This window comes from Homo sapiens, chromosome 10, assembly GCF_000001405.40.
Source record: "Homo sapiens chromosome 10, GRCh38.p14 Primary Assembly".
NCBI lineage: Eukaryota > Metazoa > Chordata > Mammalia > Primates > Hominidae > Homo > Homo sapiens.
The window spans coordinates 86131001-86152630 of NC_000010.11; the positions used below are offsets into that span (position 1 = coordinate 86131001).

The window sequence follows — 21630 nt, forward strand, 5'->3', positions numbered from 1 at the left end:
GAGTGGGGTCAGGGAACTCTCTTATCTCACCGGCACCAGGAGAGGGCTCTGTTTAGGGATGCCATGTGCAGAGAATGGCACCAGATGTGGACTACATGGCACAGATAGCTTCTCTGAGATAAATTCATACCAATTTAGATAATCTCTCTCATTTCTGCCTCTCATGACCCGCCCCCTCCCCCTGCATCCCACCACGTCTTCTTACAGCTTCCCCGCTGAGCTCCCCAATCAGCTCTTCAGTCAACAAGCAGGCTGACTCACCTCAGGCTCAGAGGCGAGGCCCCCCCAAGGCTGAACACCCTTGGGGATCCGGGAGCAGAAAGGGTAATTGAGCCATTTCGGCTGCTGCAGGCTGTTTCCCTTTGTAAATGCCTATTTCTCATGTCTGCTGCCTCCTTGGCCAAAGGGGCTACCTGCTAATAAGCCATAGATACTCTGCAGGGAGGAGCTGACACTCTGCTCCGCTATTTAATGACCCACAAAGGAAGGAAAGGCCACCAGGTGTCTTCAGGCCCATGCTTCAGGTTCACAGTTCTCTTTGACCCCAGACAGGCCTCCCAGACAGTCTCTGTAAGGCTTTCAGCACCCCAGAGCACCAAGAATGGGATGGCATGATTTGAGATGGAACTCAAAATAGAAACAACAGCCAACCAGAAAATAAACACCAGAAAGTCCAGCGGCACTCAGGCCTTTTTCCCTGATGATTGCTTAGATGCTCCTTTGAAATATCAAAAATCAAACATTAAATTCTTACAATGTTTTACTTGGGCACTCCTGCTTGGCTGGAGTGTTAAGAATGTGTTTCATTTGCCCAGTGGGCAATCGAAGTTCTAGACAACGTTTGTGTGGGGACAGAAGTCGGTGCTCCTGGGGTCCCACCCTCCATCTGTTTACCAACCATAATGCATGGCCCCTGAAAATGTGATTAAGAAAGATTAACAGGCCCCAGTTCCTGCCCTTAGCATTCCCAGATCACACAAGGAGGGAGATGCAATAGAGGGTCACAGCACAAGCAGTGGGTGCAGGGCTAGCTCTGGGATGAGGTGGCAATGGAGGTGTGTTCAGGAGGCAGCAGGCTCTGAGGGATGTGACAGTGCTGTCATGGAGAGGGGACAGTGGACTAGGATGCCAGAGGCCTGCAAGACCAGTGCTGGCTGACACCGGGACAGAGCTCACAGCAGCTTCCCCAGCACTCAGGGGCTTTGGAAAGATGAGCAGGATGGTGGGGACAGAGGAGGAAAGGGACAGAGCCATGTAGAGCCTCAAACACAGATCCTAACAGGACAGCTCTCTGTTCCCTTCCTGAACTCAGCCAGGCCCCGCGTTCTGGCTGCCTCTTGAAGCCGCTGAGTTCCAAGCCCATCTGAACAAAATCTAGAAACATTTCTTTCTTGTGACCTTATTTCTAAGAATTTCTAAGAGAAAATGTAAATTTCTCAGACTGGAAGCACTTTTGCTAAAGTGCTAAGGCTTTAAAATCTGTAAACAGTGGGATATAATTAAATGCAAATGCAGGGCCATATTCAAAAATTAATCTCCTATAATTAATTAGTAATTTAAAATATTCTGGTAAATGATACTTAAATGGCACAGAATTATCCTAGCTCTGAGTGATAAAGTCGTCTGCTAAAGATTTACCTTGTTAGAGTGAGAAATATTTGCATATATCATGTGGGACAACAGAACGTTGAGATTGCTAATTTACCTTTGCTATAAATGTATTAAAAAGCACAGTCTTTATATTCAAATTGCGGGAGCTTCACTCACTGCAGCAAACTCTGAGAAGCAATTGATTTGAAGACAGGACTAAACCCAGGCTGGGCTTCTATGAAGGATCAAATTGACCTCCAGGCACACTCCATGCCTGGGAAGCCAATCTGGGAGAGGTGTTGGGAGTGGCCCCTTCCACCTTTTTCCTTAACCTAACTCCATCCAGCCTGGATGAAAAGTGACATCTTGTACCAGAGCAACGGAAAGCTGTCCAACTAACCAGCTTTTCTCTCTGCTGTTCTTTCTCCTGTTCTTCCCTCTACAGAAAGAGATCACTGGTATCTAACTGCAGAGGTCAATGCCATCTGCTGCAACTGTCACTGGGTAGCTGCCATTTCTTTTCCAAAGACAGAATACCTCTCCCAGACTGTTCTGCCACCAGCAATGCTCTCCTCCTGGTGGATGTGTATGCATATTGATGTGTGGATCTGCACAGGTGCATGTGTTTGTGTGTGTGTCAGTGCCTGTTGGGCTGTGCCAGTCTGAGGGTCTGGTTGTACCAGTGTATGTGGCTGCTGGTTGTATCATTGCATCAAGCTGTGTCCATGTGTGCATGTGTGTGTGTGTGTGCACAAATGCATGCCTGGTCTCCCACACCTTTCTCCACTGCTGCTTACCACCACCACACACGCTGATCTCTCTGCACCCCACACTCCACTGCCATGTGCCACAGCTGGGCCCAGGAACGTCCCACCTGCAGGAGCAGCCCTGGCCTCATTTGCTGAGCCACCCAGGCCTAAGGCAGCACTCTTAGGCAAATGTAAGCCTTCCCACTAGCCAAAGTTTTCAGACCAAAGCCCTTGCTGATGTGCTGGCCTAGGAGTTGTTTACCAGCCAAACAGGCAACCAAAGTACACACACACAAAAACAGCTGACCCCATTTCTATTGGAAGTAAGAAATATTAAATTCCCATTCATTTAGTCCTTCAACACTACTGTAGACAAGGTCCCATGCTGCTCTCAGGAAATAAAATGGTGAACATCACACAGTCCCTGGCCTACAGGCAGCACGTTCTAGTTACAGGGACAGATTATCCAACATCTGCAGGACATACAGAAACGGATGGTGCCTGGACATCAGGGCTGGGCAGGCTGCCCCGCCTCCTTGTGAACTGGAAAGAAGGAGCAGCAACTCTTCTCCATAAAGAAAACAAACAGTTTAAAATCATTTAATTTTTCCACTCTTTCCAGTGGAACAAAAGACTAGAAGGGAGAGGAGGAAATACAGAGGAAACAAAAGGAAAGAGGGAGGCCTATGTACGGTAGAGACAGTGGCATAGAACCAATAAATAAGAGGTGAAAGGACAAAGCCCTGGAGTCCTCAAAATGCCCATGGACACTGAGAGAGGCCTTAGTGGATGACAGCCCTGGGGCACAGCTGCTCTGCCAGCCACTGGAATGCCCACCAGTGGCATGGTGTGTGGCCACGACTTTCCATATCATAGCCAGTCTTGGAGAGGAGGAGGCACTGCCTCTGAATTCCATGCCCCTCAGCATTTGATAGGGTTCCTCATCCATAGGAGGCTCCCAATTGGTACTTGCTGGGTGAGTAAGTGATTGGATGATGGATGAGTAGATGGACAGATGAATGGATGAACGGAGAGAGAGGTGGATGACAGATGAATAGATGAACAGAATCCCTCCAGGAAGTTGAGATGAAGCCCAGGGCCAAATGACTGTGGACTGGAGTTCTCCCCATCAAGCCTGACCTGGAGAAGAACAACAATAAGACATGTAAACTGTAGGGCGTTAACCTCTAATACCCTGAAAAGGACCCCAAGAACACATCAGTCCTGAAGTCTGGATTTCCTGCCCCAGGCTAGGGAGCCCTCCCTGCTGACATCCCAGCCTCAGCTCCAGCCACTCCCTCCCCTGCACACCCATGACTGCAACTGCATCACACACAAGTTCCTGAATACAGTAGGGATCCCCTGACCCCTCTCTCCAGCCCTTCCTTGTTCACAGAGTTAGTGCAAGTTCATTCCTACAGACCCAGACCCAGAGTCACCTAGTCCAGGAAGCTTCCGTTGACCTTCTGATGATCCCATCTCTCCCTGGCCAGAGGACATCACTCTGTCTTCCGTGCTCTTACAAGACTTGGCCACACCTCTGCCATTACAGGTAAAAGGGTCTGTTCATACCTCAGTCCTCCCCACCAAGCTGGGAGCCCTGTGAGAGCAGGGACAACAGCCTACATGCCCACATAGAACTTGGCACAGGCTGGGGCTCAGTAAATGCTGGAGAAGTGACAGGAAGAGCCATGAGCAGAAGAGAGAAAGCTCCAGCAGCCACCAGCAGGATTCCCAGAGCAAGGCCCCTCTCAGCAGCTGCTGCCTTGGTCACTTCAGCAATTGCATGGGCCATGATCCCCAGCTGGTGAGGAAGCTGATGGGCTTGCATGAGGAGAACATCATAGGTAGTTGTCACTGTGCACTGAAGTCCCACTTAGCAACCTGTAGCCCAGAGAAGAACCAAGGCCCAACTAGGATCCAATGAGTCCAATCCACTCCCCAGTTAGGGTATGATTGGAAAGAGCCACCCACACTCACATGGAGGGCTCCAAGGTCAAGCTCAAGGCAGAACAGGCCCCCCTGGAGGAAGGGACATTCCATGGCCTGTACCCTTGGCAGTCCCCAGAGCAGCCCCATGGTGCCCCCAGGCCTGGGATCCGGAGACCTGAGTTCTATCACCCTCAGCCCCATCCTCCCTGAGGGGAGCCTCTCCACACCTTTTTAAGATGATGCAGTGTTGTGGTGGCTACTAAGATGGTGCTGAGGAGGCCTCAGAGGATGAATGTGGAATAAAGACTGAGCGAGGGATGTGAGGGGTCTCTAGGTGGGGCCTGACACACAAGCCCACAGGGTCCCCAGGCAGGCCCCAGCACCTTGGCCTGCCACAACTCTTCCACTCACCCACTCACTGCCAAGGCCAGGCTCACAGAACCTGCAGGCCCCGACAGCAGAGCCCCTCGTGAAGCGGAATCACAGAGAGGCTGGTGGTGCCATGTGCCCCCAGGCCAACAGCCACCTTCAGTGAATGAATGCCATTTTGCAAAATGTAAAAGATTCAAGCAGCTCCGTCTTCCTCACTCACTCCCATTTGGCTAGGCTTTTTGAGTAGGGAAGAGGAGAACTTACAACTAGGAAAGCCCCATAGCCCATGCCAACTCCAGCTCATCTGTACCATCCCGGATGCTGCATAACATTGACATGCAGTTGATGTGTTGGGGGTGCTGAGGAGACATTTACTCCTCCTTAACTGTGCTTTGGGCTTCATAAAATTCAGGACATGTTCTGGCAGTGTGTCATCCTTGTGAACATCGTTTGTCCTTGTCACAACAAAGAGGAGGTTGGGTCAGTCTGCTCAAGAAGCCCATGCAATGCCTCCAGGTGGTGAGGAAGGCTTCGTGCAGGGACAGCATTCCCAGGTGTTCCTAGGGGACCTACTGGGCTAGCCAGTCAGATAGCTCATGTTTACTCCAGAATCCACATTTCTTCCCCACCACACTTAGGAGATACGTTAAAATGCTTTGCGTATAAGCACCCTGAGAACCTCTGCCAAACCCTGGCCAGAGACAGTGGAACCATATCTTCCCCGATGAAGCCAGCATGCCCTATTTCCCCACTCCAGCAAGTGCAGTGCTGTACACTGATATTCCTGGAATCATCACAGATGGAAGAGAGGGGCTCTGGAGGGAGTAAAATCCGGACTTGAATCCTGTTCAATGCCTAAGTGGCTATTTGTGTGACCTTAAGTAAGTCATTTAACATCTTTAGCTTTTCCATTTCCTCTGTCTGCAAAGTGTGAGGATTAGAGAATGCACAAAGGGCCAGAGCCATCGTGGGCACCCAAGAAACCTCAGCTTCCTCCCTACTAATGACAGGCGCATGAGAACAGGGATCAAGACTCTTATCATCGGCGGAGACTGAAGACTACGGTGGGAGCTGTTGGCCCAAAGTCCAAATGCCATCGTTCCCCTCAATCTCCTGCCAACAATCCCAGGGACTTGACTGACGTTAAGAGTCCAGCAAAAGAAACTGTAGAATACTAGAGGGTGGGGGATTTAGAAATGACCTATTGGATACTATTCTCACCACCTAGGTGATGGGATCCGTACTCTAAACCTCAGCATCACACAAGATTCCCATGTAACAAATCTGCACATGTACCCCCTGTACCTAAAATAAAAGTTGAAATTTAAAAATAAAATAATGGTCTGACAAAAAAAAAAGTGGCCACCCCAGAGCCTTCCCCATTCCCATCACACCCAGCAATGCAAGCAGGACAAAGCAAGCCCAGCGAATCCACCACTGCAGGCGTTTGCATAATTAACCACTTGGCAATAACATCCTTAGGCCAGTCTTAGTTATGTGTTAAATCCTCACAGGGCTAGAAACAGGAAGGGGCTAAAATCCTCTAGAACGAAAATGCATGAATATGTGCAGTGAAAAGAAAACAGATGCTTCTTGAAAAGCTATATGCTAAATGCTTTATCATAGCTGTCTCCTTCATCCCTTTTAACAGATGAAGAAACAGAGGCTAAGACGGTGATGCAAATGGCCCAAGGTCACACAAATAATAAGTCAAGGAGCTGGGACTTGCCCCCACATCCATTCAACTCCAAAGCCAATAGTCTTTCCACCCCCAAGCTTCACAGCAGAGCAAGAAGGAAAGGAAGCAAGGGGAACGGGCAAGGAATTGGCAAGAAGCAAGAAGGGAGGGGGCCAGCGATGAGATTAGTCGATACCATCACCAGTACAGAATCCAGCTGGGGAAATACTGCAAGAAGAGCCATCCCCTGAGCAGACTTTTGCAAACACACAGCTGGGTATATTCTGAGAAAGAATGGACATGTTAGTGCTGCTAATCCCAGGCTGTCCATTACTGGACTGAATCACTTCATACAGGGCAACATGTTCTGGTGAAAATGCCGGGAGCCGACAGGACATCACAGCCTGGCGGACCACCGGCGTGATTCGGGGCCTGATTAGCAGAGAGCATCAGGGCTGCCGGCCAGTTGTACCACATTAAGCATTCCAAATTTTAAGTTCCCCAGCAGTGGGCTTTGGGCTGGCTCCTGATGCATGAGGTAGCATTCTGAGTAATAATTAATTAGAAGGAAAAGCAGAATAAGCAAGCAAAGTACATCAAATGGAATTAGTATAATGTCATGTTTCACTTCAGTTTACTTTCAATCAGAGAGGGCCAACAAGGTGACTGGGGTTGTCTGGAGAATCTGCAGGGAGCCCTTGGCCACCCTGTGACCTGTTCAATCTGCCTCTGCTCCCAGGCATACCACATCCCCAGCTCACCCCCCAAAACCAACCCAGGCCAGAGGGAGACCTGCCAACTCCAGCCTCTCACCTCTCTGCCATTAGACTACCTGGGCCAGCGCCAATCAGCCAACTCATAGGTTATTTCTAGTTTCTTCTCAAATTAATGGATTCTTTACAAATGAATGGATTCTTTACTAACCAATGGATTCTTAAACTGATGGGCCCTGTCTTCATTAGAAGGCTCCAACCTCGAACAGAGATGTTTTTAAAAGAAATTCACACTGATTATTAGCCCAAGTGCCAAAAAAATAAGAACATCTAATGTATCCTTCAACGATAGGCAAAGACACCTCCTCCAGGTGCTAAGAAATCCCAAGGCAGACCTACCCACCTCTGCAGAAAGCTGGAAATTTATTTTATCCCTAGAGGCTTACACCTGTCAACAAAGAGAGGAAAATTAAAAAGAAAAAAAAAAGGGCTGAGTCTTGCCTCAGAAATCTCTGTCAGTGACTTGTAAACAGGCTTCCACCAGCCTCCCCACAGCTCTTCAGAGGCTGGGCAGGCCTTGACTCACCTGTCAGGGAACTATCAGGAGCCAAGTAGTGCTCAGAGAATCCCCCCTTACAGGCTGAGTGCTGTGGGCCGAGCACCTACGGGTCTCCATGTCCGTTTAGGCCATGCGTAAGACGACTGTGCCCTGCAGCCCACCTGAACCATCTTCTGCAGAGCCCTGGGCACCAGGCCCCTGAGGCCTCAGGCCCCCATGACCTACCTCGTTGATGAAGGAGTGGGCTCCCTGTGGGCTGAGCAGCAGGATGGCGCGGCGAAGCGTGTCCCGGTAGCGATTCAGCTCCTCTGTCTTCATCGTGGTGAAGAGGCTGGTGAATACGTGGCTAATGTTCTTGTCCACCTTTTGTAAAGAGACGTCAAGGCCCAGCCGCGAGGCCTGGTCCAGAAAGCTTTGAAGCCCACGGATATCTGAGCAGTGAGAGAAGAGGAGGAAAAGAAAAATCATCTTTAAGTGGGAATGCACCCGGGAGGGTGTCTAACTGCAACACGTTCCACCCATGCAGGCCACCACGAAAAATGAGGGTCCAAGTCAGCCTCAGTGATTCCCGTAAACAGAGGTTGGAGGACGCCGGCGTAGACCCAGCAGCGTTCACCAGTGTCCAGCCCTGGCTGACTGTCTCCCCCTACAGGTTGGATGCCATCCAACAGGTTCTATGGCCAGAAAGTGCCCTTGATTCATGACAAGCTCTCTTTCTTTCCCTATATGGGCCCAATCACGGCAATTCTGGCCTTCAGGTCACATTTGCTGGCAGTCCCTGGCCCTAGCATCCCCAGTCCCCTTCACCTCCCTCTGCTCCCAACATGAGGCTCCTAGACCAACCATGGCCAGCTGAGGCCCCTGACTGGAGCGGGCCTGGCCTCAGCAGATAGGCAGTGCAAGCCCTCAGTCCCTGCACCAATCCTGCCAACGCACAGCCTGTATCATGGCACCCCAGCCTGCATCATGGCACCCCAGCCCTGAGGCATGGGACCCTGTCTGGCTTTAGGGACCTGATTTTCCTTGATAAAACATTCCTCCTGCCTGTTTCCAGCTGGAGTGACTCTCACTCCAAGTCCAGTCAGAAGCCCACATCCTGACTGGATCAGGGATGAGCAGGGGGTTCAAGGAGGTACAGAGAGAGCCCATCCTGGCACGTTGGTGATCACTGGGAGAGAGGTCTGTCGGCACAAACCACCCAGGGATGGACGATTCAACAAGAAGGGACCTGGAAGCCAATATAGTTGCACTGCACACTGCTACAAATCTATCCTTGTGAGGCCTGAGGGTGCTAAAGTTTTTTCATCCAGTGCCAAAATCATCTCTTAGCAGCAGCCTTGTAGAAGCCATTTGGCTTTCCCAAAAAGAGACATGCCCAGGAACAGAGGCAGGCGGGTCTGAGAGTGAGACACGGTCCTGACAATGTCATTTTCAGCCCCTGGGTGCATGTGAGGCTGAAGCCTGTTTCTCCCGAACTTTCCAGTTCCATGAGCCAGTGAATGCCTTTGTTTGCCTAAGGTGGGTCACGTGCAGCCCAGAGTCTCAATCCACAGGCCATTTTTTCACAGCCTTGGATGTTTCTTGTGTCTGGCCCATCCTTGCATTCCACCTCCCATAAGCAAGAGCCGTGCCTGAGTCACACCCTCCAAAGGATACTCTAGGTCTGCCCAGACCCACAAGCTGCACTGTCCCCATGCCCTGGGATGCCCACAGGCACGGCCTGGCCCATGCAGTCACCAAGAACAAAATCCAAATAAACAGTGTTAGTTCCACCAGGGTTTGTTCCTAACCTGTCCCTCTCCAAAACTCTCTCTGTACTAATTTTGCAAACTTTCTGGTATACACTCATGCCAAGTGCCATGCAAGCTGCTGCAGGAGTCCCAGGCTCCCTGTTGTGCCAAGAGGACAGGCTCACCACTAAGCGTAGTCCCAGCTGGACTGTGTGACAGGAGCCATCATGGGGAACCAAGCAGCGCGAGGGAGAAGAGCAGAGCACCATGGCCATCGTAATGAGGGTGCTGGGGGCTGTGCACAGGGCCCCCCTTACCACTACAAAGGGAAAGCCCTAGACTAGGGCCTCAGCACCTGCCACGAACTCCGACACTTAGGACTCAGTACAGTCTCTGAAGCCCTCAGGCAAATCACTATCCCTTTTGAGCCTGAGGGGCTGTCTGTAAAATGGGGTGAAAATCACCAACTACCATTTTCCTGGGACTCTGAAGAACCACACTTCCTGTGCAGGCCACCTGCTTGTGTCTCAGGAGCCTGCACCTGGGAGTACGGGGAGCCCACCTCCTGTTGGTGCATGGGGAGGGCACAGCAGCATACAAATGAGAACCCTGGGGGCTCTCTAGAGATGGCAAATGCATGATCACCCAACCATGACCTCAGCCAGCCCCTTGTCCATCAGCAGCCTGGTCCCTGGAGCACAGCCATGTGACCAAACCCACTGGCTTCACAAAGAACAAGGGTCTCGGTGTTGCTCTGCCCACTGTGTCAGACAGGAAGGAGAGCCAGCCCCAGGGCCGAGATGAAGTGGCCAGCACAGGGCTCCCCCAAAGTGAAGAAAGGTAGCCAACTGAGGACAATATGGTGCCTTACACCTGCCCCAGTGCTCCAGGCCCCCAACACACAAGCCCCAGGCTGTCAACACCCTTGGGGTTCCCAGAGAGGCAACTCAGTCTCCATCAGTCTGTTCAGGGCCATGGGGATCTGTAGCTCCCAAGCTTCTTGAAAGAAAAGGTGAAGAAGATAAAGACCTCTTCTTAACCAATCAGAGGGAGTAGCAGGGCAAGTGTGCAGAGATGGCTCAGGAGCCCCAACCAGAAACACCAGCACTGGTATCAGCCCCAGTCCTGCCCTCTCTGGAGCACAGCACAATGCAAATCTGTCCATCATCAGCTGGAGGACATCTCAGCACCCAGCGGCCACCCACACCAAAACCAGCAGTGGGCAGCTGTGCTGGGCACATAACAGCCTTCCACGGGTGCCAATGAGGGTTTCTCCCTGGATCTAGGCTGTACATAACACAACCTCTAGCCATATATGGCCATTAAAACGTCAATTAATTGAAGAGAAACACAATTACATGCTCAGCTCCTCAGGTGCACTAGCTACATTTCAAGTACTCAACAGCCACATCTGGCTGGTGGCTACCATGTTGGACAGCACAGATATAGCTCATATGAGATGGATCATCACAGAAAGTCCTATTGCCTGGTACTGCCTGGAGAAACCGCCTTTAACCAGTGTGGTGTAAACGATATTCCTAAATATGGGAGACTGGCTGCCTTCAGGCCCCTGGCAAAGGCTCCTAATCCCAGGCTTTTTGTTCTGTCACTGTGAGGACTCCTCTAGCTCCAGCTCCAGCTCCGGCCTCAGCCAAGTGACCCGCTTTGACTATGGGACAGTAGTAAACTTGACGCAAACAGAGGTTGAAAAAGTGTTTGTGCATTTCCATTTCCACTCTTGAACCATGCCACCACCATGAGAACATCTCCAGGCCAGCTGCTGGAGGAATGTGGGGACACATAGGGGAGAGTCAGGCAGGCACCCAGGCAGCCATCCCCAGCTGCAAGCCAGCTGAACTCAGATGCACAAGCGAGCCCAGAGCAGAACTGCCCAGTTGACCTATAGACTCATAAAAAATAATAAATGACTGCTGTTCTAAGTTTTGGGACGGTTTGTTTCCCAGCAATAACAAAGTGATAGATCGAGGTCATTGGATGCATTGTATCTGGTATAGCTTATGAAAACGTTAAGTGAAAAAGCAATGCCTTTACCTTAAAAAACTGCCCTGTCACAGCTTACCTGTGGCACTGTCCACACGGGGCTGAGTGCTAGTCAGCCCCAGGGCAAGGCCACATGTGCACAGGTGGCTTCTGCAGCCCTGCCTCTTCCTTAGAACACCAGTGGTCCTCACTGCCCATGGCCTTGACTGTGACACAGATCCGAGCACAGCTGCAGGATGGGCATAAAGGTGGGACCCTGAGACCTGTCATTTACAAGCTTCTGCTCCTTGCAGCACCTTCTAAGGCCACTGCAAGTCTTTAAAATGGCAGAGACTGGCCATGTCTACAGAGCACACCTTTCTGCACGTTTACATAAGCATGTGTACCATGAGGGCTTGCATGAGTCCATGAGTATGGTAGGGACACCCATGTGGCCCCAGGGACCTTATGCCTCATGCCAGCATGGCCAGTCCTCTCAGTCTGGGGGAAAAGTCTCCTTCAGTCCCTTCCCTGAGCTCCCTCTACCTAAAACCATCTCAACCCACAGGACGGTTTTATTTCTTCAGGGAATAGGAGATGCCATGGGCAAGTAGCAACTGTCTTGGCACCCATGAGTACACAAGAACATGCAAACGGGAGGACATAAGCCCTCAGAGCTCCTCTGCACCTCCCACTGCTGCATTTCTGGCTTCTATTCCAGCAGCCCCTAATGGGACTGAGGGTTTACGATCCATCAGAGACAGTTTATGCTCCTTGCCAGCGGTGGCTCCTCACACCTGAAATCAGTGATGCTGGCTGAAGCCAGTGTTCCTGAGGGACAGCAGCCCCTGGCTACCACTGCCTGCTCCAGTTGGCTGACAAGGTCAACTCTCAGCCTCCTTTCCCTGAAGCTTCTGTCCAGCTGCACTTGGGGTGGGGCTGGAGGCAGAGTAACAGTGAGGAGCCCAAGCCCATGCTGCAGCCCTCCTGCCACTCTCCAGGAATGGGGCCACGGAACCCCACTTCTCCCGCAAAGTCCTTTTCTCCCTTCAAGAAACCAAATTTGTAATCCCACCCTACCCCATCCCCCCAAAAAACCTGACTGTCTGCTGCTGCTGCTCACACAGAGAGAACTCCCCAAGCAGGTAGACAATGAACAGAGCTGGGACTTCCCCCACTGGGCCACACAGTTAGTGCCCCTTCCCCAGAATCCCTTGGCTCCCACAGAGCTCTGGACTTTGTCCCAGGGCCTCCCCAGCAAGCTCCCTGTACACACTGGCCAGCCCCATCCACCATCACCAATGCAGCTTCCACCAACCACACGCACCTCCACCTGCCCCTGGGGAAGTTTGCTGACTGAGGCCTTGTCAGGCCTCGCATCAACCTGATCCAGAAAGGGCATGAGAAAGGCAAGAGCCACCAGGTCTCCAGGCACCCAGGAGAGGCATGGACTCTGGAAAAGGCCACTGGACACTGCAGGGACAGGGAGGAGCTCCCTAGAGAGGAGTCCTGCGCCTTAGAGAAAGGAGGCAGCTCGGGGTGCATGGGCCAGTCCACTCCTGCAAGGAATGCAAGGTGACGGTGCCCAGGTCAGGCCTTGACATCGCCTCTCTGCCTGCCAGCCTCACTGCACCCTCTTTGGGCTCTCAGGGGCCCCATCACCAGGCCTTCTCAATACCCAAGCCTGCCGGAGTCCTGCCAGCACCCACCCGTTCCTTCTTCCCCTAGTACTCACTGAGCACTCTGTGTCTGTCTCTCCCCGGGTACAGGAAAACAAAACTGAATGAACCCCTGGGGTTCTTTATCGCAGAACTTAACATTTCAGAGGCTGAGAACAAGCCAGAACAAATCAATAGCAGGATAGACAAGGAGATAATTTCCAACAGTGAGAAGAGCCCCAAAGAAAATAAATGCTGGATGGGAGGGGACTTCAGGGTGGGATAGGAAAGACCCTGCCTCGGTGAGGAGAAGCAGCTCTGGAAACCCCTAGGAAGAACATTCCAGGAGAGGGGAACAGCACACAGAAAGTTCCAGAATGATGCATCTTTGACATCAAATGAAGAAGATCCTTGCTCGCCCCATGACAAGGCTGGACTGTGGAACTGCCAGGAAAGGAAGCTGAGGGTCAGTGGGCACCAGGGACCATCCATGGGGAGGAGAGGACACAGGTCCCTCCCCGCCTCCACACCAGCTTTCTGACACCTGGCCCTGCTTGCCCGGTACATCCCGGCCGCTCGCCCTCTCCCCCTGCATCAGCCTCCATGACTCTGCTCTAAAGCTCCTGCCAGTCATCAACAAACAAGGGCCCTCCTCGGTCTTTGTCTTCCACGGTTCTCCAGCATCCAGCCTGCAGTCCTGCCTAATGCCCTCTCCCCCTGGGCTTGCAGGCACAATCATATGCCCCTCTGCTCCCACCCGCTCCCCTTCTCCTCCTTCACACGCTCCCGGTCACACTCCCACTAGTCCTAGGTTTCCCCCTGGTACCACCTGCCATGTCTGTTCTCACGTGTCTGAGAACAGCATCACCACACATGTGCTAAGGAAGCCCACATCCTGGACTGGCGGAGGCCTTTCAACTTCTCCTCCTAAACATTTCCCGAGTTCCACTCTCCCTTCTCAGGTTCAGCACTATCACCTCCTCCCTAGGACTCATGCAACAGTGTCCTGCAGGGTCCCCTGACCCTAGCATCTGCCCTCTAATACATTCCACAAGAATGTTCTCTCTTGAGATCATATCTGCTCACAATACAGCCCTCCTCTAAACCTTCAACAAATAACACAATTTATGTAACAGTTGCCAAGAAATTAATATCCTCAAAAGCATCAGTCAATCAAGTTGCAAACAAAAAGTCTTCTAGAGACTTCATTATTGTGCACAAAATAGACTCCAGACATTTTGGGTACCTAAGAGACTGTGGTCCTAACAGCATTTTTTTGAGACAGAGTCTCGCTCTTGTTGCCCAGGCTGGAATGCAGTGGCATGATCTCAGCTCACTGAAACCTCCACCTCCCAGGTTCAAGTGATTCTCTTGCCTCAGCCTCCGGAGTAGCTGGGATTACAGACACCCGCCACCACGCCCGGCTCATTTTTGTATTTTTTGTAGAGAAGGGGTTTCACCATGCCTAACAGCATTTTCTATTTGTTTTTACATTCATCACCTGCCTCCACCACGTCCTCCTCAAACCATGTACCTTGGGATCCAGAAAAAGAAGCTCTTTGCCCACTCCTGGACATCCTCCACATACACACACACACACACACACACACCCTCCCTCCACTGGGATGCTCCCAATTTGAAATTTACAGAGCCCTACTCCTCCATCAAGACCCAGTTCAAACTTCCCCTCTGAGGCCATCTCAGGTCCTCAAGTTGAAATTCATGCCCCCTTCAAATTTAATAATATTAAACAATATTAATAACGTTAAATCATAATATATGGGTAACAGGAGCTAGGCCTTCCTCATTTGTGTTCTTTATCAAACCCCAAGGCTTGGTGCCTAGAACAGAGTCAGAAACAGTAAAAGTTTATGGAATCAAGTTGAACCACAGCGGGAACCTGCCTGAAGCCCGGCGTGACTTCAGCAGCCACACGATGACCACGTAGCCGGTGGAGGCAAAGCCCTACTTGGTAAGGAACTGAAGTTGGGGAAATAATTTTTTCAAAATCTAAGGTTATAATTGTGACTATCCCTCCACTCCCTCTGAAAAAAATCAGATAGTCACTGGGTATTTTTAATACTTTCTTTCTGAAAAGTAATTGAAGCGAAAGAAGACATTTCAAATTGCTTCCCCTACTATTTTCAATTTCTGAGAAAGGCCCAGGCACTGAGAGTACTTATAGAGAATATTTTACCATCTGTAATGTACATATATATACATGAAGGCTGCCACCTCACACGCAGAAGAAATTCACAGTTAAAAGTGTTTTTGGATTATTGGCAAATTTTCCAAAGGCTGAGACACAACTTTGATTCCATAGACTTTTTATTTTTACTTCTTTCTTACCTGAGCCCCCAAAGATATGCTTTGAATTTCTTCCCAGATGTACTTTACCCATAATTCAAATTCATTTCTAAGAGCCCTACCCAGCCTCCTCTCTTTCATTGCACATTCCCCTCCCACCACCAGCTCCTAATGTCACCATAGTTGTTGCAAGCGGAGCAGGTATGATGGCAGCAGCGTCTGCCATTTCCAAGGGAACCCAAAGAACTACCTGCTGTGGCTCCAATCACAGGGATACCCTTGCCCTCTGCCCGCTGGAATCCATCTGGAGCCTCACCTCCCCACACCTCACACCTCAGCTTCTCAGCTATGCATTTCCTCTTCCTCCCTTCCCGCCCTCTTCCTTCCTTCCTCATATATTTCCTGAACACTGTCCTGGGCCAGGCCCTATGCTTGGTTCCAGAGCAGCAGAATTTTAAAACTTCACAGCCCTGTCCTGGAGGAGCTCTGGGTCCTGAGGGTAAGACTGACGCTGACCCTGAAGAAAGGAGTGGCTCCCTTCTGCCACTTACTGAGTACCTCCTATTGCCAGAATGTGTTCCATTTGCAGACAGTACTTCATAAATAAATGAAGTCCCTGCAATCGATCCATGCAGGCGACTCTCTGTGGAAGTCAGCGGGGCACCAAGCAGGCCCAGGGGCAATTCAGCAAAGGTATGGCACATCCAGCAGCTGTTGGTAAAATTGGAAGCAGGCCTCCCCCATCATAGGGTGACAAGGTCCCCCAGAGCCTAGGCAAGGGCTGCATTCAGGTGAGTAGAATGATGGTGTCCTGCCAGATTCAGCAGCAAAGGGCTACTGCTCTAAGTCTACTTGCCCAAGGTCTCATCTGAGAGCGTCTTGTCTGGGAGGGAGGGCTCTCCTGTCCCCATCACAATCCCAGCTCCCCAGACAACAGTCATGGCAGGCCTGGCCCTGAGGTCCTCCAGAGTGACATCCCATCCCTCACCACAAAAAGCTCTACCCTCTGTATTAACCATATCATTTTTCCAAAGATACGTACTTATTTATTTTATTTAACTTTTGTTTTAGTTTCAGAGTGTACCATATGGAACCAAAAAAGCCAGAAGAACCAAGACAATCCTAAGCAAAAAGAACAACGCTGGAGGCATCACATACTTGACTTCAAACTATACTATAACGCTACAGTAACCAAAACAGCATGGTGCTGGTACAAAAATAGACACATAAACCAATGGAACAGAAAAGAGGGCCCAGAAATAAAGCTGCACACATACAACCATCTGATCTTCAACAAAGCTGACAAAAACAAGCAATGGGGAAAGGACTCCCTATTCACTAAGTGGAGCTGGGGTAACTGGCTAGCCATATGCAGAAGACTAAAACTGGACACCTTCCTTATATCTTTTACCTTTTGATGCTTTGACATCTGGGGCCTCACTTACCCTGGAGGGCCTGTCTCTCCCTGCGTTAGTAAACAACTTGCTCCAGAGCATGCCTTTTATCTGCAAACCAACCAATCCAGAGCCCAGAACCCCGACCACATTTTATATTGGGATCTCACACTCAGGGCCACTATATACTTGTCCTAATCACCCCAGGGCCAGGTACCAGACAACCAAGGACACCTCTATGCCCCAGAGCCCACTGGGCTTACTCCCACCAGCCAATCCTAAGCCCACCTACTCTGCCTCACCTGTTCCTCCCCATGGAAAGCACAGCCGACTCTTGACCATAGTTTCCCCCCTCCTCCTTTCTGCCTCCCTGTGGGACCTGCTGGCAAGGCAGGCCCTCTTCTCTGGGAATCTGCAAGTATAACAAACAGTCTTTTCAATGGTAGTCATCTCCTAATCTATTGGCCTTGCCATACCTAAATCATAATAAAGCCTGTATTAAAACTCCCATACTCCTTGCAGCACTCTGCAATAGCCAAGACAGGGAATCAGCCTTGGTGGTCACCAGCCGATGGATGGATGAAGAAAACGTGGTGTACATGCACAATGGAATGCTCTTCAGCCTTTGAAAAGAAGGAAATCCTGTCATTTGCAACAATGTGCATGAGCCTGGAGCAGATTATGCTAAGTGAAACAAACCAAACCTAGAAAGACAAATACTGCATGATCTCACTTATAAGTGGAATGTGAAAAAGTTGAACTCAGAAATAGAGAATAGAAAGGTGGTTACCAGAAGCTGGGGAGTTAGGGGACTGGGGAGATGCTGGTCAAAGGAGGTGAAATTTCAATTAGACAAGAGGATAAGTTCAAGTGATCTATTGTATAAATGTTGACTATAGTTAATAACAATATATTGCATATTCGAAAATTCATAACAGACTCGATTTTAAGTGTTCTCACCACAAAAAAATAAGCATGTGAGATAATGCATATGTTGATTACCTTGAGTTAGCCATTCCACAATGTATGCATACATCAAAACATGTTGTATACCACAAAAAAAATACAACTTTTACTTGTCAAAAAAAAAGGAAAACACTATCTTCCATGGTAGTCTGAGATTCAGAGATTAGGAAAAGGCACGGAGAAGCAGCCCCACTGCCCTGCTCCCCCAGGGGTGCACAGAATAAGCACAAGCCTGGGTTCACTATCTGGGTGATCCTGGACAACCACCTCTCTGAGCCTATTTCCTCACCTGCAAAGCAGAGCCAACCCCACCTTCCTCCTAGGAGACCTTAGATCCTTCAGCAAGGGGCATACATCACAGCTGGCACAGTGCAAAATAGATGTTCAGCGGCTGTCAGCTCCCTTCCAACCTTCTCAACAGCACAGGGAACGCCCCCAAAAGGGCTCTCAAATGAGCAAATCATCTCTCTTGTTCTAGAGTCTCATCAAGAAGGGAGGTGCCATCCTGACAATCGGGTGACACAATAGAAAACTAAAAAGGTCATCTCTCCCTTCTGTGATAATGGAAATTCCAAAGTTGTAAAGTGGCTTGAAGGGGAAGGTCTGTCATTGAAAACTCTTTGAGAGGGGAAACAAGTTTCTGCCTCTAATAAGGGCTGATAGTACCCAGGAGCCTTCTGCTCAGACAGGTTTCAGAACCAGCCACAGAACCACATAAGAGCAGATTCAGGAAAGGGAATGGGTGGTCTGGATGACTCCGTATGGGCACGTTCACATGGTGTGTTCACACATGTGCTGTTTCAGACACAGGGACCTTGAATGAGCCGTACCCACACCCCCTGCCTGGGGCACTAACAATGGAAGGCTTCGGCTAATCCCACCACATTCCAATTTCCCACCAAGCTCTACTCCTTTCCATTTAAAAAACAAACACAGGGAAAAACATTTTAAATAATCAGGCTGGAAGATCGAGATTAAAAACAATTTAAAATAAACGTCTACTCTGGCACTTTCGAAAAAACACACCACGCTGCATTAAGTGCTTTGAATTAAGTAAATTATGCCAAGTAACTAATTTACATAATTATCAAGATTTGCATTTTACACATGTTATGATGAAAATGGGTTTATAAAATAATTCTTCACCAACTTCTGTTCCAAGTTGGGTTCCAGTATTTGGATAAAATTCCGCGGTGTTTATCTGCTACTGTCTTTCATGTTTCAAATCTCTGGCTCCTTCAATATTTTCTTTTAATCTGGCAGGTCCCTTGTTCCCACTGCAATAAATAGTCCCTTTGATTTGCAATTCCCTTCCATCAGCTAAGTGAGATCATATTTTTAAGGAATCCATAATATGCTAATGATTTTTAGAATTTTCACAAATAAAGTTTGATTTTCCTGTCACCTTTCACTTACGAGGTATTTGGTAATGATTTTAGCAGTTCTTCCTCTATGATTTGCAGGGATGGTTTTCAGAGTCCTGCTGCTTTGATGCCATTTTTTCAGGATGAGGAATTGGCATGGCATTTCCCCACAAGCTTCTTTCCTGCATCAACAGGCCTCTCGGGGCAGGAGCAAGACCCCAGCTGAAGTCGCCCAGTGAGAGGCTCGCCTCCAGCCCTCAGGTGCTTGGTGCCCTCTCCCTGAGCTGCTGGATTCTTCAATGCTTCATTTCTTTTCTCCCTCTCTGCGGCTTGTGAGGAAGGCTAACCATACCATGAAAGATGAAAAAACTGAAGGCCAGAGAAGTTGAGCTCCTCCTTCAGAACACAGAGGAATGACCCACATCATTGCTTTGAGGGAGCTCTGGGTATTTTTCTGGATTCCTCTTTCATTTAAGTAGAGAAGCAAATCTAGAGAAGTAATTTCCAAGTGTTTGTCCAAACAGCCACATGTGAATTTCCAGGGGCTCCAAAGCTGATGCCTTTGGATTTTGTTAATGCCACAGCCAGATGACATCTCTCCATGGTATGGCCAAACCAATGATGGCGTAATCGTAACAGCATGCTACAGACTGAATGTTTGTGCTCCCCCAAAATTCATGTGTTAAAATCCTAACCCTCAAGGTGATGGTATTAGAAGAGGGGGTTTTGGGAGGTAATTAGGGTTATAAGGGCAGAGACCTCCTGGTTGGAATTAGTGGCCTTATAAGAAAATAAGAGACTCGAGATCTTTTTCTCTCCACCAGGTGCGCACACTGAGAGAAGATGGCCAACTGCAAACCAGGAAAAGTGCCCTCACAAGACGTCAGATCCAGCACCTTGATCTTGGACTTCTCAGCCTCCAGACTGTGAAAATTAAATGTGTGTTGTTTAAGCCCCCCAGCATGAGGTATCTTGTTAATGCAGCCCAAGCTGACTAGCACACAGCACGTCTTATCCAGGTCTGACTTCTAGCCAGGCACTATGTGAAGTAATTTGCATATACTGTCTCATTTAGTCCCCATGACACCCTCATGTCTTGCCCGAGTTTATCTAGCCTAGGAAGGTGCTCAAATCCAGGGCCTCTGACTCCAGAGCCAGAGCTCTTTAGTCTTATTCACCAACAAGCTGAAGGCACGTGGGAAGGGATGAGAAGGAGGCAGGTTTGCAAACCCCATCATGTTTGCAATGGTCTGGTTTGCAATGCTGAGGTAGGTGCCTGGCACACACATTTCCTCTGAGCCTGAGCACCTGTAGGGAATTACCAGAGTATGCCCATTTCACAGATAAGTCACTGGCTCAGAACAGAGCTGGGATCCAACCCTGGATCTGTCTACTATAAAGGGCTCTGCTCTCTGTGCACCAAGACACAGCAACTCCCATCCCCACCCCAGACCTATCTAGTGGCCACCGCAGGCATATAGAGCTCCAGAGAGACCGTGCAGCAGGCTGGTCAAATGCTGGAGTTTGGCATTTAAGAATGGCAAGAGGAAAACATGATGCATGCCATTACCAGCTGTTAATTTGCAATCAGTATTAATAAGTGACATTACACAGTGAAATGTAGCATCTTCATTAGTTCTGTAAATTATCACTCTGAGTAAAGCCCATTCTACTAGAAAGAGCAGCCCCAACCGAGTTAACCTGGAAGCAACCTGGGACGGGTTCCCCCTCTGCAGACCTGTCTGAGGGCCACCCAGGGGCTGTCACCCACCCACCCAATGGGACCTCCTGATCCCTGGGACCAGCAGTGTCTCGGGATCTGCGCTGGTGGGGAATGTGTGTGGGGCTGCCCTGGTCACTGCCCACAACTCCCACCCTCTCAGTGACAGGCTGATGGGACTGCCCCACACTATCTTACCCACTCAGGCTTGCTCCAAGCCTATGTCTGGTGCCCAACCAGGCCATGCCCTATCGTGGATACTAGAGAGAAGGATCAGACCCTGTCCCCAACTTCAAAGGAGCCCAACAGGAAACAGACAAGAAAACAGTGTTTGAGGATGTACTAGGAACAGCAGGGAGTGCACGAGAAGGGGTTTGTTTCTCCAGACAGAGGGAAGGTCTCAAGAAAGCCTTCAGAGAGTGGGGAGTTGGAACTTGCAGGATGAAGAGGCATTTTCTGCATGGACAAGAGAGGGAGTATTCCAGACCAAGAGGATGTCAGGATCAAAGGCCTCATGGAACCCAACAGCCCAGCTGTAGACCTGTGTGTGGTTCTGTTTGGGTATGAGGGGTGTGGGACCTTGTGTGCCCACAGAAGGATAGCCACAGTGGCATTTCTGGGCAGGAGGGATGCCAGAAAACCCTGAGACCAGGGCCTAGGGCCCAGCCATGCCAAGCCCACCACTCCTGCCCACTGCCTCCTGTCTCTGAGGCAGAGAAAGGATGACAGCAACGGAGACACTGCACTGGAGTGAGCCCTGAAGCCCCGCTCTGCGCCCGAGAGCCCCCATAGCTGGAGCAGATGCTGCCTAGCTCTCAGGGAGGCCACTTCAGGGCAGGGCTGTGGCTCCCCTGTGGGAGAAAGAGCCTGGGCTTTGGGGCCTGCCACAGGGGAGGTGGACTCATGGGTAGCCATCTC

General features: G+C 50.0%; 1 protein-coding gene across 1 annotated transcript in view, besides 1 other annotated feature; it reads right to left on the bottom strand.

Annotated features, from left to right (window-relative positions):
* The window catches only part of GRID1 (glutamate ionotropic receptor delta type subunit 1), a 767244-nt gene that overhangs the window by 531449 nt on the left and 214165 nt on the right, over positions 1 to 21630 (bottom strand). The window contains exon 4 of the mRNA NM_017551.3: positions 7819 to 8024. Coding sequence (NP_060021.1) covers positions 7819 to 8024 — 206 coding nt within the window. The remainder of the gene's footprint in view (positions 1 to 7818; positions 8025 to 21630) is intronic.
* Positions 4105 to 4643: an enhancer, noted in NCBI's record as "H3K27ac-H3K4me1 hESC enhancer chr10:87894862-87895400 (GRCh37/hg19 assembly coordinates)". NCBI's record gives its function as "activates a minimal SCP1, AML or CMV promoter by ChIP-STARR-seq in primed H9 embryonic stem cells {active_cell/tissue: H9 hESC(primed)}" and the evidence as "EXISTENCE:reporter gene assay evidence [ECO:0000049][PMID:30033119]".